At 50.2% G+C, this 16,398-nt stretch overlaps 1 long non-coding RNA gene across 1 annotated transcript in view, besides 1 other annotated feature; it reads right to left on the bottom strand.

The window, feature by feature from the left end:
* Positions 1–16,398, bottom strand: part of LOC105373611 (uncharacterized) — a 241,632-nt gene that overhangs the window by 88,862 nt on the left and 136,372 nt on the right. The window lies entirely within an intron of this gene.
* Positions 1,923–2,578: an enhancer, noted in NCBI's record as "H3K4me1 hESC enhancer chr2:129310369-129311024 (GRCh37/hg19 assembly coordinates)". NCBI's record gives its function as "activates a minimal SCP1, AML or CMV promoter by ChIP-STARR-seq in primed H9 embryonic stem cells {active_cell/tissue: H9 hESC(primed)}" and the evidence as "EXISTENCE:reporter gene assay evidence [ECO:0000049][PMID:30033119]".

Genomic DNA, 16,398 nt, shown 5'->3' with positions numbered 1-16,398 from the left:
TCACATCTGATTCCTGAAGACACAGTGATATAAGGACCTGTCCTCCTGCATAATGCTGGGACACACTGACAGTTCCCCCAGTTTCAGAGCTCTCTGCAGGACCCTCCACCCAACCCTGCAACTCCTTCCCAGGAGTTGATCCCAGCACCTCCTAAGCTAATCCGGATCTCGGAGTTGGCTTCCTGGGAATCCAACTTGCAGTGAGTTGCAAGTCACTCAGCAGCACCTGGCGAACATTTTTAAATGAAAGTGAGCAAAAGAGCATGCTCAGTCTTCAAACTTCTGGAATCAATGAAAGGATTGATGGGCACTGACTGATCTCGGGCTGGGACTTGAAGGTTCAGACCCTGTTTTCTGATGCCCCTTATTTCCCCTCCACCCCTCTCCTTCCCCCAAATGAAGACACTCAGTTGTTTGATTTCAAGTCACAGAGAATGTGTGAAGCCAGCCCCTTTTGAGGGAAGGTGGAAGCTCTGAGATCCGCCCCAGACAGCTAGGACCCAGAGAAGTGAGGTCACCTGTCCCAGGCCACACATACGGGAGGCCATATTTCCAACCAGTCTGTCTCAGTTCCAACTTGCTCTCTTTCTACTTTGCTGTCTCAACATTGGATGCATTTTGAAAATGATAAAGTTCCCATGGACGCCTGAATCACCTGTGAGTGTTGCCACAGAGTTGCATTCTATGGCAAGAGGCTTTGCAGGTGTGATGAGATGGAGGCTCTGGAGATGGGGCTGTTGCCCTGGATTGTCCAGGTGGGCCCTCAGGGTAGTCACTGTAAGGAGACAGGAGAGCCCAGTGAGGGGGAAGTGCTGTGCTGCTGAAAGCAGAGACTGGGACGATGTGGTCAGGAGCCAAGGAATGCTGGCAGCTTCTAGAAAATGCTGGAGGAGGCAGCTCTAACAGGAGGGGGTGTTGGTGCTCCACACCCCCTGAGCCTCCCCAGAGAGACAGTGCACCACCGCAGAGAGCAGGCCTGGCTTACGAAGAGCGTGGAGGGGACACCAGAACCAGACACCCCCAAGACCAGGCACATGTGGACAACACAAATGGGCCAAGCCAGAGTGAGGCTGCCCTTGTGCACAGGAGACAGGACCGTCCTGCTCTGCGTTGCCAGGGTACCAGTCAGAGAGACCCAGGGACTCCTGAGAGCAAGGAGCAAACTGTGTCAGGCCCAGCAGGGAGACAGGATCTGGGCAGGCAGAGCTGCAGCAGGCTGAGGCCACTCTGCAGACCACGCAGAGGGGAGGGACTTCAGGATCAATGGGGTGGGGTGGGAGCACCCCCACGCTTCCTGAGTAGCTGTCCCCGGAGGCTTCAGTCTGTGTGGATTTAAGCCTGAAAAGTGAAAAGATCAGTGCACAAGTTCAGGGTGAGTGGGGGCTGGCCAGGCAGAAGCCCAGGGAAAGGCCTGGGAAGGTTTGGGGTTATCTTGGTTTCTGGTTTGTACCCATTTGTTTTCAACACCAGCAGCATATACGCATTTATTCAAACATTGAGTGACTATTTCTTGTGCACCCGCCACAGGGTCTAAGGTACAGTACCTGGGGATCCTCACATGGGCAGAGCAAGCTCCCAGCCTTGGGGTGCAGTCAGCTTTGTCCTGAGAGGTGTACTCTCTCCACCTCACCACACTGCCCCACTCCAGTTCAAACCAGAGGGCAGGCTAGGGTAAGAAGAGTAGATTTTGTGAGATTTCAGCCCAAATACAAAAGGCCCTGCTACCAATAAGGAGTAAGCTGGGCCCTGACCCAGACCCTGGTATCTGGAGGCACAGGACATCCCATCACTCCTGAGGGAGGTGCTTTTATTATCCCAATGTTTGAGTCAGGAAAGCTGAGGTGACACAGGGAGTAGCTGCTCAAGCCTCAGGCCACCAAGCAGCCCTGACTCCTGGGGGTCTGTCCATCTAAACCATGTATAGACGGCATCTCGACAGCTCACCCACCCCAGGGGGGCTTGCGGGTTCCCCTCTGAGGCCTCCTGGAAGAGATCATATCACAAGCACTGGAGAAGGGTGCTGACTTGTGCCGCTGCCAACAAGGTCTGACCACTGAGGGCCCTGATGCTGGGCCACCCACTTTAACCCACAGCCATGGAATTGAAGCCTCTCCAGCCAAGTAGACCCAGGCTCAGATGGCAGGGACCAGAATCTGAGGAGGGCAGTGGGAGCCGGATAGCCAAACAAGCCGGGCTCCCAGAGAGGACCGAGGCATCCCCATCCCGAGAACACACACAGCCAGACACTTTCCACACCTGGGGAAACTGAGGCCTGGAGGAAGAATGGTCCAAAGCCAGCCAGCATGAGCTGGGCCTGAAACCTAGGTCATTGGCCTGGGAACAAGAGGAAAACCAGGGTGCTGACGGGGAACCACAGTGATGTTGGCAGGTGGCCCAGGGCAGTCTCCTTGGCCAGTCGTGGACTAACAGTCCCCAGACCACTGCTCTTGCAGCTGAGGAAAGAGAAGGAAGGGTTTCCTTGCTGAACCCTAGAAGAAACAACAATAACGTCCAGATGTTAAAGGCAAAATCACTTCCTCTGAAAAGAAATGGTGTTTTTAAGAGACAGGCGGCTGAGCACAATGCCAGCCCCAGCAGAGGGCCCAGCAGGGGCAGCCAGCGCCCTGTGGGAGACATGCTCCAGGAAAGGTGTGTCTCCCCTGATTTCTGTGCACCCCCCAGCAACCAAGGAGGGGCTCCTCGTGTCCACACTGGGCTCAGTTCAAGGTTGAACATTATCAGGCCCAGCGGCCACGCTGCCCAAGCCAGGCCAGCCACACATCCAGGGCTAGGAGAGAGCCTGCCACCATCCTCTCCCAGCCCCCAAGACTAAAGGCCATTGTTGATGTGCAGTTCCTGGGCAGCCCCCCACCAGTATAGAGGTGCTGATTCAGCAGGCCTGGGGTGGGTCTGGATTCCCATGCAGGTGTCTGGGAATCAGAGCTTCCCATCTCCACCCAGGGCATCTGCAGGCACGTGGCTCCCAGCTGAACAAACTCCAGGATAGGGAAGCTCCCAGCCTGCAGCCAGCATCTGCACGTGCACAGCTCCTGTGGGCATGCCTTCTTTTCATCCAGGAGAACTTGGTGGAAGGCGGGGAGCTGCCTGTCCCTCAGAGTGGGAGCCCACACAAAGGAGCCTGGGACTCCTGGTCCAGGCTGTACCCCAGCAATTAGAAGAAAGAGAAAATAACTAACAAATGCTCAGAAAACCTCCCTCCCCATACCCTGGGTACTAGTGATCCAGAATTTTCCCTGCCATCACTTTGAGGAGGAGGTAATAACAAGAGATAAGGTCCTACTGGAGGTCCTGGGGTGGGTCTGATGCCACCTCCACTTCTGTGGCCAGAGGCCCAGACAGTGTGCACTGGGCTTTATTCAAAAGTCCGGAGAGCACCCTATTAATGGATGCAGAGGCAAGAAAGGGCCTTGGGCACCAGAGAAATGTCTCTAACAAGAAAGAGGCTGAAATAGTTTGGGGACATTAATCAGGAAGTCCAGAGCCCTAAATGGCCCTTTCTCCCCTATCCCGGTCCAGCTGTGTTTAATTGACATGTGATATTCTGAACTTCCTTCCGGATTGCCAGTTGTTGAGAACCTGAACCTGGGCTGCTGGCCTGGCTACAGCCTGAGACTCCCCACCCTTGGGCTGGGTGGGGTCTGCAGGGACTGAACTCTCAGGGACTGAGCCCTCACTGGTCAGGCCTGTTCAACTTGGGAGGGAGGGTCCCTTCACCCAGCATTCACCCCTCAGCCTGGTCCTCCTGGTCCCTACTCTGTTCGAGGTCCTCTCGCCCCTGAGTAGCTGGGACCGCACTCTAACCAACTGGCTCTGCCCTCTTCCAGGCCCGATCTCCGCATCTGCTTTCAGAAGGCACCCACATCGGCCAGCAGGTATGAGCCCAGCCACAGCCTTCAGCTCATCCCAGCACCTCCCATCTATGGCAGCTCCTGTGCCAGCATAGATGCCTGGCCCTGCCACTGCACACCTCAGCTGTTTGGATGCTGGCATGGCAGGAGCAGAGCTAAGGAGAATAGCTTCTCTGATTGAGAATCGGACCCATGAGAACACTCAGGGAAATGCTGGCAGGCACAGCAGAGGGGCCCTCATCCCTCATGGAGGCAGCACCTCCAAAGGCCCAGGCAAGTAGCTGCCAAAGAGGCCCCAAAAGACCCCGGCATGCTGGAACCATGCACAGCCTAATTATTCTTCCAAGAGAGAGGCCCAGGCCTGCTTCTAGGGCACTTCGGGTCAGCTCCATGGTGCTCTGCTCACCAGCAAAGTGGGGCAACCCAGACCAAACAGTGCCCACTACAGCCCAGCCAGCATGCTCCCTAATCAGCACCCACAATAGCCCCCACACCCTGCAGGACCCAGAATGTTCTACAGCCCTCCCCCACCCCCACTGTCCTGTGACCTTGGAGCTCCCAGGCCCGGGTTCCGCAGGAGGGGGCTTTCATGAGCACAGACCTCCCTCCCTGTGAAGAATCGGGGCTGCCTCGTTGCCCTCTACCCATTGCGAGGAACACAAACCCACCCAGGGAAGAAACCAGGCAGCAAAAGCCCTTCCGTTCTTTGCACAGGTCGAAAGGGAGCTCAGCTCTTCCCCCACTGTCGGCAGTTACTGAAGAAATCTGTTCTCATGAATTTAAGTACTGTCCGGCTTTGTTGATCTTTGGCTCCACCTCAGACATCAAATGACCCTGCTATGCCAAAAGGAAGGCATTCGTGAGGAGCTCCAGAGACACTCGTGAGTTAGGGTGACATCACAGTTTCATTGAGCACCATTGGTGGCATTTTTGTGTGCACAGATGTGAACGTGCCCAGGCCCCACATCCACTAAGAGGAAGAACTGCAAATATAAACCATGTCCCTCTGACTCCAAAACCTCCAGGTTTTCAGCCAGAACCAAGTGGCAATGTGTAAGAAAGCCACACATGTTAGGTGTAGCCATGTCAGGAACTGAGACACTTTGCAGGGGCAAAATCCCAGGGTTCACTCTGGTAGAGAATTTCAAGTTTCTTAAACAGTAATCCAGACCCTTACACGAGACAGAGGGAAGGAGGAGGAAGGCAGAGGGAGGAGGAGGGGAAGATGAAGGGGAGTGGGAAGGGAGGGCAAGCCCGGATGTCCAGGTGACTGTCCCCTGCCCTCTTTCTTCCTCAGCCCCTCTTCAGCCTTTCCCAAAAGGAAGCTGTAGGGTGGAGGACCACCCAGAAACTGATTTCCACTCTAACTTCAGGAGGACATGCCTCTCCGAGCAGAGAGCCTCAGTGCTGAGCTTCTGTCTGCAGGGAGTTTCTCTGGGAATTTATGAGACGCTGTAGAAATGCTGACGGTGTGGTTTTGGCCACCCCAGCAGGCAGCCCAGTGCTCTCATTAGACTGGCTTCCTGCAGGCGACAGGGATGGGTAGGGAAGGCTGTGGGGCACAGGGAGGAGGTAGATGGCTGACACAGGATAGGTGCCCGTGCATGGGGGCTGCCCAGCAGCCCAGACTCCTGGCAGGCAGGAGGGACCATGGGCTTCTGCAAACCCACCGCTCGCTGCGGTCCCTGGGTTGCTAAGTGAGGTCACACCAGCCCCAGGGTGGGGTGGGTGCAAGGCCCAAGGACCGCAGGGCCTGGGACAGGCCACAGGGCAGCAGGGACTTCCACAGGGCAGCTGGGCTACTGAGCAGTGCTTGTCCTAAGAACCCCTCCGGTCTCTCTCCTGAAGCTCATTTGCTCCTTTGACCCCAAAACAGGACAAGAGATTTCACATGGAAGAAAAGGCCCTTTTCCCCTCAGGATTCCAGCTTCCCAGAATTCCTTTCTGATTCATCAGGTATTCACATTTTCTCAATCCTGCAACGTCCACATGTTTTCATGTTTTTTAAAAAATGCATAATAATCACTACCAGTTATTGAGGGCTCAGCATGTGGCTGGCCCATAGTGAGGCATGAGCCTGCAGGGTCACAGTGAGCCTTACTGCCTCCCCTCCTGAGAGCAACCCCTTGGAGGAAGTGTTAGAGACAAGGAACCCCAAGTCCACAGAGACTGAGCAACCTGCCCAAGTCACACAGTGAGGAAACTGGGCTGAGGCCGGGAAAGCGCTGAGTGCATGTGTGGTAACATAGCAGAGTGTTTTCACATCCATTCTCTCACATGATTCCAATGCCTGGAGAAGTAATCAGGGCAGGAATCACCCCGGTTAACAGATGTGAAAACTGAGACCAGAGAGGGCCCAGCCAGGAGCAGCGGGGCCTGGGGAGAGAAAGCCAGTTCGAGCCTAAACATCCCATGTTCTGGTCCCCAAGTTGTTCTACCCTGCCAGGTAAACTTTTCTTTGAAAACAATTTTAAAGGATTAAAAATTAATAGGGATAATGTGATGTTGTCACTGGATCAAGCCTGGGGCAGAGGAGAAACCACTGGGAAGGGGTAAGGACAGTGAGGGACTGAGCCTGGTCAGAGGACAGCAGGGAGCAGCCAAGTGGACGAGGAGGTCCCTTGGAGTGAGGAGAGGAGCTGGCCAGGCATGCTGCAGGCTGGGCAGCTGCCCACACAGGTGGCTGGACAGTGACCACCCTTCCAGACACATTGTGGACATCCTTTCAGGCTAGCCCACTCACGCCTCCACCTTGAGAGGATGGTAGCCCTGATCCTCACACAGGCAGAGGCAGGTGCCGTGCCCGGAATCTCTCCTGAGAACACAGAGCCTCTTCCTGTGACTTCCCCAAGCCCAGGAAGCTTTCTGGGGCCAGATCACTGTGTGTGTGCACGCGTGTGTCTGTGCTTCTGCCCCAGTGCTGTGGGGCCTGAGGGGTGGAGGCGGGAGGTCCATCCAGCACAGCCGCCCTGACGCAAGCCTGGCGCCATCCCACTCAACATCTCTCTGCCTTCTACTAGGAGAATGATCCAGCTGCTGGGTTCTGCCCACAGATTTTGATACTAAGTAATATTTCCAGCGAAAGTCTTGTAAATTGATTTGTAGGAAAGGCGGGTGATGGAGAAAAATGGGGAGCTGCAGACGTTGAATTCAATACCAAATAATCTAATATGCCCAATTTCATTTTATTCTCCTACCTTTGATGTTTGCAAGCAAATCATTGGCACTTTGGTTTGCACATATATCTCAATGCAAAATGGTGGAGTGGCAATAAATAAATGCATTATCCAGATAAATGGCTGCTGGTCAGGGTGAAACAGCAGAGAATGGTCGGTGCTTTCCAGTGATTTACAAGCAGGAAATTCACTTATTCTCCCCTGACCCTTGGCTGTTTCTGGCTCTCACAATTCTAGAAAAGGGAGAGTGGGCAGAGAAAAGCATAGATAACAGGAGGAGGAAGACTCAAGGGCCCCCAGGCCTGGGGAATAATCAGGCGATAATGATGTTTTGGCCTCCAGGGCCATAGTGCTTCCCAGAGCCTCAGACTGATCTCTGCTTCCACCTTTGAAATATTCAACCAATCCTACACATCAAAGCATCTTGCCCCGTGGCCCTCCTTGACCTTTCCCCTTCTGCTTCCCAGGCCATGTCATCCCTCCTGGAGGCTATTGAAACACACTGCCAGCCATTGAGTCTCTCATGGCTCTCCTCCAATCCAGCCTGCCCAGAGCTGCTAATGACAGGGTCCTAACACTCAAATCTTGCCATGGCACTTCCTGCTTAACTCCTCAGTGGCTGTCCTTTTCCACAATCCGCTTCACTCCAGAAACCTCCCACTAAAATGCACTCTCTGACTCTTTCTTTTGTTTTTCCCACTCAAATGCATGAATAGGCTATGAGCTCTTTAAAAGCAGGGGTTGTGTCTAATTCATGTGCCAGCTCTCCAGCACCTAGTACAGTGCCTGGGATGCTGGACAGGAGGATGGTGGAACAGGCGAGTGAGTGGGTGAATGGATGGATGGGTGGGTGAGTGGATGGATGAGTGGGTGGGTGGGTAAATGGATGGGTGGATGAATAAATGGATAATGTGTGAATTATGGATGAATGTATGGATGCATGGATGGATGGATGGATAGATAATGGGTGGATGAATGGGTGTATAGATAGGTGGGTGGATGGATGGATAGATGTGTGGATGGATGGATGGATGGATGGGTGGGTGGGTGGCTGGGTGGATAATGGGTGAATGGATGAATGGGTGGATAATAAATGAATGAACGGGTGCATAGAAAGGTGAATGGATGGATGGATAGATGGAGAATGGATGGATGGATAGATGGGTGGATGGGTGGATAATAGGTGAATGGATGAATAGGTACACAGATAGGTGGACGGATGGACGGGTGGCTGGATGGATGGAGAATGGATGGATGGATGGATGGATGGGCGGATAGGTGGATAATAGGTGAATGGATGAATGGGTGGATAATGGGTTGATGGGTGGATGGAAGGATGGATGCATGGATGGATAATGGGTACATGAATGGGTGAATAGATAGGTGGGTGGATGGATGGATAGAGGGGTGGATGGATGGATGGATGGGTGAGTGGGTGGATAATGGGTGAATGAATGAATGGGTGGATAATGGATGAATGAATGGGTGCATAGATAGGTGGATGGATGGATGGATGGAGAATGGACAGATGGATGTATGGGTGGATAATAGGTGAATGGATGAATGGGTGCACAGATAGGTGGATGGATGGACGGGTGGCTGGATGGATGGAGAATGGACAGATGGGTGGATGGGTGGATAATAGGTGAATGGATGAATGGGTGAATAATGGATAGATGGGTGGATGGAAGGATGGATGCATGGATGGATAATGGGTAGATTAATGGGTAGGTAAATGGATGGCTGGGTGAATGGATGGGTGGGTGGATTGGCAGATAGATAGTTGATGGATGGGTGGTGGGTGGATGAGTGGGTGGATTGATGGGGTAGATGGGTAAATGGCAGTGGGGACATGGAAGAGTGGGCTGGTAGGAAAGTGAGTGAGGAATGACTGTGAAAGAAAAAAGATTCATTCTGGGCTTTTTGGATTAACTTCTCTGAGGCCTTGAGAAGTCTGTCTGTAGTCTAAGTACCATAAACCTCTGGGAAAGCTTACATTTCACATCATACCCCCTGTGTCTGAGCTCCATGGCAAACCCAGCTCATCCTCCCTATGGGCACAACAGGCCTACATTGTGCCTTCAAGGCGTCACCTTCCTGGTCTGGTCACCATTCTGGTAGCTGCTCATTCAACAAAGCATCTCTCTCCCCCAGCTTTTTTTTCCATCCGTCTGCCATGATGTAGGTCATTGATTAAAACGAACTGTCACAGTCACAGACAGAGCCCTGCAGCCATGGTATAGAAAATGTGTCTGAATCCAATGTGGCTCCTCGCCCAAGCTGTGGGTGCAGAAGCCTGGCCTACTTTGGGTCGATCTAATTGCAGTCGCCCCGCCATGTGGTGCCCTGTTCCTGTTTTTTCCACAGCAACATAATTAGAAATGTTGTCCAGTGTTTTCCAGAACTCACAGTGTACTTTATTTAAGAGCACTGGGTCTTAAGGCTCAGCGTATCTGCCCAGTGAAACTGAATGTCATGAAGCCATGGCTTGTTTTTAATGAGTCCATGCAGGCCCCCAGGAATCACTGTGTTGTTTACAAACTTGTTTCCCTCTCTGAGTGTTTCTTTTCCCAAAGAATAAATGCTCACCACAGGGATGTGCAAAGGGAAGTTGGGCAGTGTTTCATATCATACAGATAACTCAACAATTGTCTAAAACCCCAATCCCAGACACCCACCCTGGAGCCGTCATGCTTCTGCCTCCAGGTTGTCCCCAAGTGCATCTAGGAGGCCTGCGTGGAGCTGGGCATGCATCCCTCCCCAGCTTCTAGCTCTGTAGACTCTCCTGCCTAGGCCTGCACCACCTCATTTTAAAAGATGAGTAACAGTAGCAACCTCAGGTTGTTGTGAGAAGAGGGAAGTCAGGAGGACAAGCACATGCCAGGTACCAGGCGCCACACAGACACCAGCTGGTGAATGAGGACAGTGGCCCACAAGCACAGGGCGCCATCCCTCTGATCTTCTCCAGTCCCCCTCCCCTGAACTCTCCCAACCATTCCTACTCTTTGGAGCATCCTCTCACCCCTCCCTCCCCTGGGCTGGATGGACCCTTCCACACAGGCCAAACTCAGTCTCATGGCTCCCAGCACAGGATCCGGGTCCACGCACTTTCATGGGTCCCATAGGCCCAGCGGGTGTCCACACCTGCTTGGCTTACAGAGCAGGAGCAGCTGAGTTGAGTTCTGCCACTCCACAGACACAGGACACTGCCCTACTTGCTCCCCCAGGAACTACATGGCCTCTGAAGGACAAGGAGACAACGGGCTCCTGGCTTCAGATGGCTAATTGAGCATGCACCCCTGATTTTACCTCCTCCCAACGCCCCACTCCAAAATAAACAACACAGTAAGGAAATTTTTTTAAAGCCATAAATCCACAAAAACAAAGACAACAGGAGAGATGCGATAGCAAAGGAAAAGGTGGGAAGTAAAATGAAAGAAGGAATTCCTGAGTCAGCAGTGAAGGAGCCAAAGAATCAGCGCGATTCACCCTGCAGACCCCTCAGATCGCCCAGAACCCGCAGCACCAGCAACTGCTGTAACCAAGGCCAGGGGGTGAAGATAAGATCTAGAGGCTGCTGGAGAAGTAGTGAGACCCCCGAGAGCCCCCCCCTTCCATTCTGCACCTAGCAAGGGAAGCGCCCCTGCCCTTACCACCACCCTCCCCTCCCCCCACCTCCTGGAGATGACTGGAGGCTCCCCTCTGAAGATGGGTAAGCAGAGAGTGTGAGGCAGATAGGCACAGAGAGCACCAAGAGCCCTTCCCTGCACGTGGCCATGCGCCGTCTGCATGCACGCTTCCCCTTCCTGGCTCTCAGAACAGGGCAGCCAGACCTTTTACCCCTCAGGTAAGAGAAGAGAAGGGAACTCAAGACCTAAAGGTGAAGACACCGGGGTCCCCGTAAAAGCCTCTCCCCTCCCGATCGCTCCACATGCCCCACCTACCCACTCCCAGCTCCCAGCCAATGGTTTCCCTCCTGCTCTTGGGTCAAGAGGAATCAGATATCCGAGCAAAGCGTCCATCATGACAGAGAGAGAACTAGCAACCTGGGGGGAACCCACACAGAAAGAGAGATGCAAACAAAACCGCTAGCCATAGCCTCTAAGAGACACAGAAAGTATTGCAGCCAGGAAATAAGAAAGGGCGCTCTAAAAAAGAATGTCCGGAAAACAAAAGAGAGCTCCTGGAAATTAAAAACTGTATAACACAAAGTTTAAATTGATAAAGGCAATGGCATAATAAAAAGTTGAGGATATTTCACAGAAAGGAGAGAAAAAAGCAAAGAGCTAGACAGCAGGATAGAAAACAGTGTTTTGAATAGAGGACCCGTCTGTGAAGCGAGGCCGTGTAGCCAGCATCCTCACTGACCCATCCAGATGCCCGCCCTCTTTTTCTGCGACTTTTCCTCCCGTCTCCCAGCGTTGGGGTGCTCTGCTCTCAGCCCTGCAGCTGCACCTTCCTGCAGGACTCCTCTTCAGCCACCAGAGCCACTTGGCCTGTATCCACTGGGACTAGAAGTGCTGGGAGACTAGATCCCCCTGGATGGCCTTAGGCAGTAACAGCCAGCTGCAGGAATGTAAAAACCAGCTCCCTTACCTTAGGGCAGGAAGACGCCGAACTGCAGCTTCAGCTTTCACACTCCAGTTCCCTGCTGGACCAACCGAAGGCCCTTCCATGGGACTTTGCCTGAAATCTCACCTCTTCCCTCCCCTGCTTCCCGACTCCCTCACCCATTGCCCTCAAAGTCACTGCACACAAACCTCATCTAAGGGTATCCTTCTGGGAACCTGACCCAAGACAGTGTACATATTCAAATAATAACTGGAAAAAATTTCTGAAAAAAAAAAACAGAGAAAACAGAATAAAGGAAATCAAATAAACAAGAAAAAACCCTGCACTGAAGATTCCCAGACTGAGGGGTCTGCTGAGTACCCAGAGAAATGGATGAAGACAGAGCCAGCCTAAGTCACCTCACTGAGACAGGTTAGAACACGGAGATAAAATCAGATTCCACAAGTTTTCAGCAAGAAGAAAAACAGATCCCATACATTGGAGTAAGACTTAGCAATGCCTTTGGACTTCTCGGAAGCCCACAGAAGCTAGAAAACCAGGGAGCAATACCTTCTTAGAGAATAATTACTTCCCACCAGAGTTCCATGCCCAGGCACCTATTTATCATCTGTGAGAGCAGAATGAAGATAGCTTCAGATAAGTAAAGCCTAAAACATTTATCTCATGCTTCCTTTCTCAGAAGATACTGGAGAAAATGCGCCAACCAAGAAACAGGCAGGCCCAGGATTCAGGACACAGGAGACCCTTCACGGGAGAAATATAAAGGGAACCTCCAGGACCAAGGACAAGGAAGACCCCACAGGACAACCCTGTAAGCCAAAGGGCAACCGGTCCACAATGGACTAGGGTGGCTCAAAGGACAGACTCAATGAGGGCTGCCATCCATCACCTGCTTCTGATATTCTACCCCCATCAACCTTAGTGGAACTACAGAGGAGATATCCAACCAAGGGAATACATCAAGGAAGAGGGACCCAGGGTCTGGCATACAGGGGCTCCATCCCAGAAGGAGTCCAGGGATGGGAGTAAAGGGACTTGCCATAAGAGAGTCACACAGCAGGCCTGGAGAATAATCAGCCCAGAAAGAAGGAGGCTGGAGACCTCCAGGATATAACTTAGGACTATTAGACCACCCAATGTAATTGACCCTGTGGAAACTGTCATAGAAAGGTAATGGAAAAGTATAAAAAGAATAAGTACAGAGAAAACTAAGCAAATGAAAAATAAAGATAAGCCAGTTACTAATTTCAGTGAAATATACGTATATAACTATAGTATATTATATGGCTCTGCTTTGAATAATATTTGCATCAGCATATTATATAATCTGTAAATAAGAAAATTCATTGAGAAAACATGGCAATAACTATAGTAGTCCCAGCTTATCCACCAGGTATACGTTCCAAGACCCCCCAGTGGATGCCTGAAACTGCAGATGATACTGAACCCTACACATTCTGTTCTTTTGTATACATATATACCTATGATAAACTTTAATTTATAAATTAGGCACAATAAGAGATTGACAATGTCAACCTAGGCCAGGCACAGTGGCTCATGGGCTGGGCGCAGTGGCTCACGCCTGTAATCCTAGCATTTTGGGAGGCTGAGGCAGATGGATCACTTGAGGTCAGGAGTTCGAGACCAGCCTGCCAACATGGTGAAACCCCATCTCTACTAAAATTACCAAAAATTAGCCAGACATGGTGGCACACACCTGTAATCCCAGCTACTCAGTAGGCTGAGGCAGGAGAATCGCTTAAACCCGGGAAGTGGAGGTTGCAGTGAGCAGAGATCATGCCACTGCACTCCAGCCTGGGTGACAGAGCAAGACTCAGTGTCGAAAAAAGACAAAAAAAAAAAATACCAATGCCAATCTAAAGGAAGAAACTGAGGTAAAGTTAATATAAGTAGAGACTTTTTTTGTAATAGGTTTGGGGACTGCAACTCAGGAGACACAGATTCGAGTTGCCCTGAATATATGCTCCAACTGGCAGCAGTTCCAAGTGGGATTTTAAAGAGAAAAAGAAAGGGCAGTTCCTAAGCTGAACAAAGGCTATTGCTACACATTGTTTTTTGTATCACAAATTCCAGGAACATGAAGACAGTGATAGGAGGTCACATTGTGCAAGTTATGGTAATATTACAGATAATTTATCAGCTAGTCTGGAAACTACAGGGAAGAAAAAAAATCAAAATGCATTTTAAAAATTAGCCCTGGGGATGGGTGCAGGGTGCAGGACTAAAATCTCATGCTCATGTCTCCCTGGGCCTGATACGTTTTGCAGACCTCACATTCTTCAGACTGCTCTGAGTCATTTTTCTTCCTCATTTTCCCCTTTTGACTGAGATCTTTCTCTTATAAAAGCATTGATGAAGTCTGGGTGTGGTGGCTCATGCCTGTAATCCCAGCACTTTGAGAGGCCAAGGCGGGCAGATCACAAGGTCAAGAATTCAAGACCATCCTAGCCAACATGGTGAAACCCCATCTCTACTAAAAAATCAAAATGCATTTTAAAAATTAGCCCTGGTGATGGGTGCAAAATTACAAATATTACAATTACAAATAATACAAAAATTAGCTGGGTGTGGTGGCACACACCTGTAGTCCCAGCTACTCGGGAGGCTGAAGCAAGAGAATCGCTTAAACCCAGGAGGCAGAGATTGCAGTGAGCCGAGATAGCACCACTGCACTCCAGCCTGGTGACAGAGCAAGACTCCATCTCAAACAAAAAGCATTGATGACCAACATTTTAAATGTAAGTTTGTCCCATGTCACTGAGGAGGCTCATTCCCAAGTAATTTCATCCCATGTCAGAGGGAAACGGGAGAGGTACTATGGCTTAAGAACTTAGTGAGTTCTCAAGGCCAAGTTGACTGGCAACACAACGGGACAGAGCAGTGAGATCTCAGTCAGGCTATTGCATACAAAGGAACAGTGGTGTGTTGGATCATTTCTAAGCATCCAGCCATAATGATTTTAGTTTTTGTTGTTGCCTTTAGACATCTAGAAATACAAGGCATGATCAATTTAAGGATCAAAAATACGCAACTAAGAACAAATATTAACAAAATCATTTGAAATCCAGACCTGCAAGTGTTCCTTTTCCTGAAGGTACTCAGTCAAATGCTGTAAGGGGTCTGTTTTTCCAATGTATTGCAGCCATCTTGCCCTTTGAGTGATTTTTTCTAACCAAGTTTCCACTTCTCATCCTGCTCTGAAGCACAAGGCACCTGGCTGTGGGCCAGCTTCAGTTGGAGATCTCAGTGATGGAAGATGTCCACTTAGGCAGCGCTGCCCTTTTAAAATGAGGAATGTGAACCTGTGAGTCAATGCCATTAAGCTGCACAAGGATTGATTAACAATATCTGATACGGTCCCTTCCAATATGGTTAGAAGGAGTTCTTTATTTCATGGCGTTTCCAATAAATAAAATTGGAATAAAATTGGAAGCCATGATCTTTGATGACTTCGTCTCTGGGGAGCTCGCTGTTAAAATAATCCTTAATTAATTTAGAAGTTTTAGTGAGAAGCTTTATAAGGCCTTGGCAATCATGAAGAATATCACCTTTAAGGAGAGCTAGTTCCACTCCTTCATCTAGGTGGGTGGGTCTTCCTGCTCTTATCCCAAAGACAGAAAGCTGATGCTTTCCAAATGGGGTAGCACGTAAGTTAAGTGACACCAACAGAAGAGCCTTAGGCCAGGTAACGTTAAAAGTCCCTGTAAGCCTTGCCAACTAATTTTTTTTTTTTGACAGAGTCTCTGTCTGTCTCCCAGGCTGGAGTGCAGTGGCGCGATCTCAGCTCACTGCAAACTCCACCTCCCAGGTTCCAGTGATTCTCCTGCCTCAGCCTCCTGAATAGCTAGGATTACAGGCGTGCATAACCAGGCCCGGCTAAGTTTGTATTTTTAGTAGAGACGGGGTTTCACCATGTTGGCCAGGCTGATCTTGAACTCCTGACCTTAGGTGGTCTGCTCATCTTGGCCTCCCATGCCAACTGATTTTTATCATCTCGTTTGTGCATCCCACCAGTCTGGAAGACTGAGGGTGTCATGCACAACAGAAATGCTGAAAAATAGGCCATAAATGACAAGTAGGATGAAGGATTTGTCACTGAAATGGGTTCCCAGGTTGCTGTGAAGCTCAAAAGAACCTCCCCCAGAAAAAATAGAACTTAACGTGGCCCTGGTTAAAGATGCAATTGGCAAAGAAATTTGGTCTTTTTGTTTTCAGTTTACTCGAAAGGTGAACAAAAATCTTTTACTATCTCTTATTAATACTATAAAAGAATCTTACTCAAAAGAAAAAACAAATTCAACCTTTGTATTAGTGTATTACTAATATTAAACCTAATTTTAATAAACCTCATAAACAGATTTATCTAATCAGCTTTGACCACAAAATAAGATTTCCATAAATCTTCCATTTAAAGCAACCTTTAAATAACTAGGCAAAAATACCTTTTATTTAACAAAGTAACACATTCTCTGTCTATCTTATCATTTTCTGTCTTTCTTATAATTTTCCTTGCCAAAACCATATCCTACTTTTCTGTTTTTTGTTTGTTTGTTTTTTTGAGACAGAGTCTTGCCCTGTCGCCAGGCTGGAGTGCAGTGGCGCGATCTCAGCTCACTGCAACCTCTGCCTCCTGGATTCAAGCCATTCTCCTGTTTCAGCCTCCCAAGTAGCTGGGATTACAGGCACCCACCACCACACCCAGCTAATTTTTGTGCTTTTAGTAGAGACAGGGTTTCACCATGTTGGCCAGGATGGTTTCG

The sequence above is a fragment of the Homo sapiens genome, chromosome 2 (assembly GCF_000001405.40).
Source record: "Homo sapiens chromosome 2, GRCh38.p14 Primary Assembly".
Taxonomy (NCBI): Eukaryota; Metazoa; Chordata; class Mammalia; order Primates; family Hominidae; genus Homo; species Homo sapiens.
This window is presented reverse-complemented; position numbering and strand designations above follow the sequence as displayed.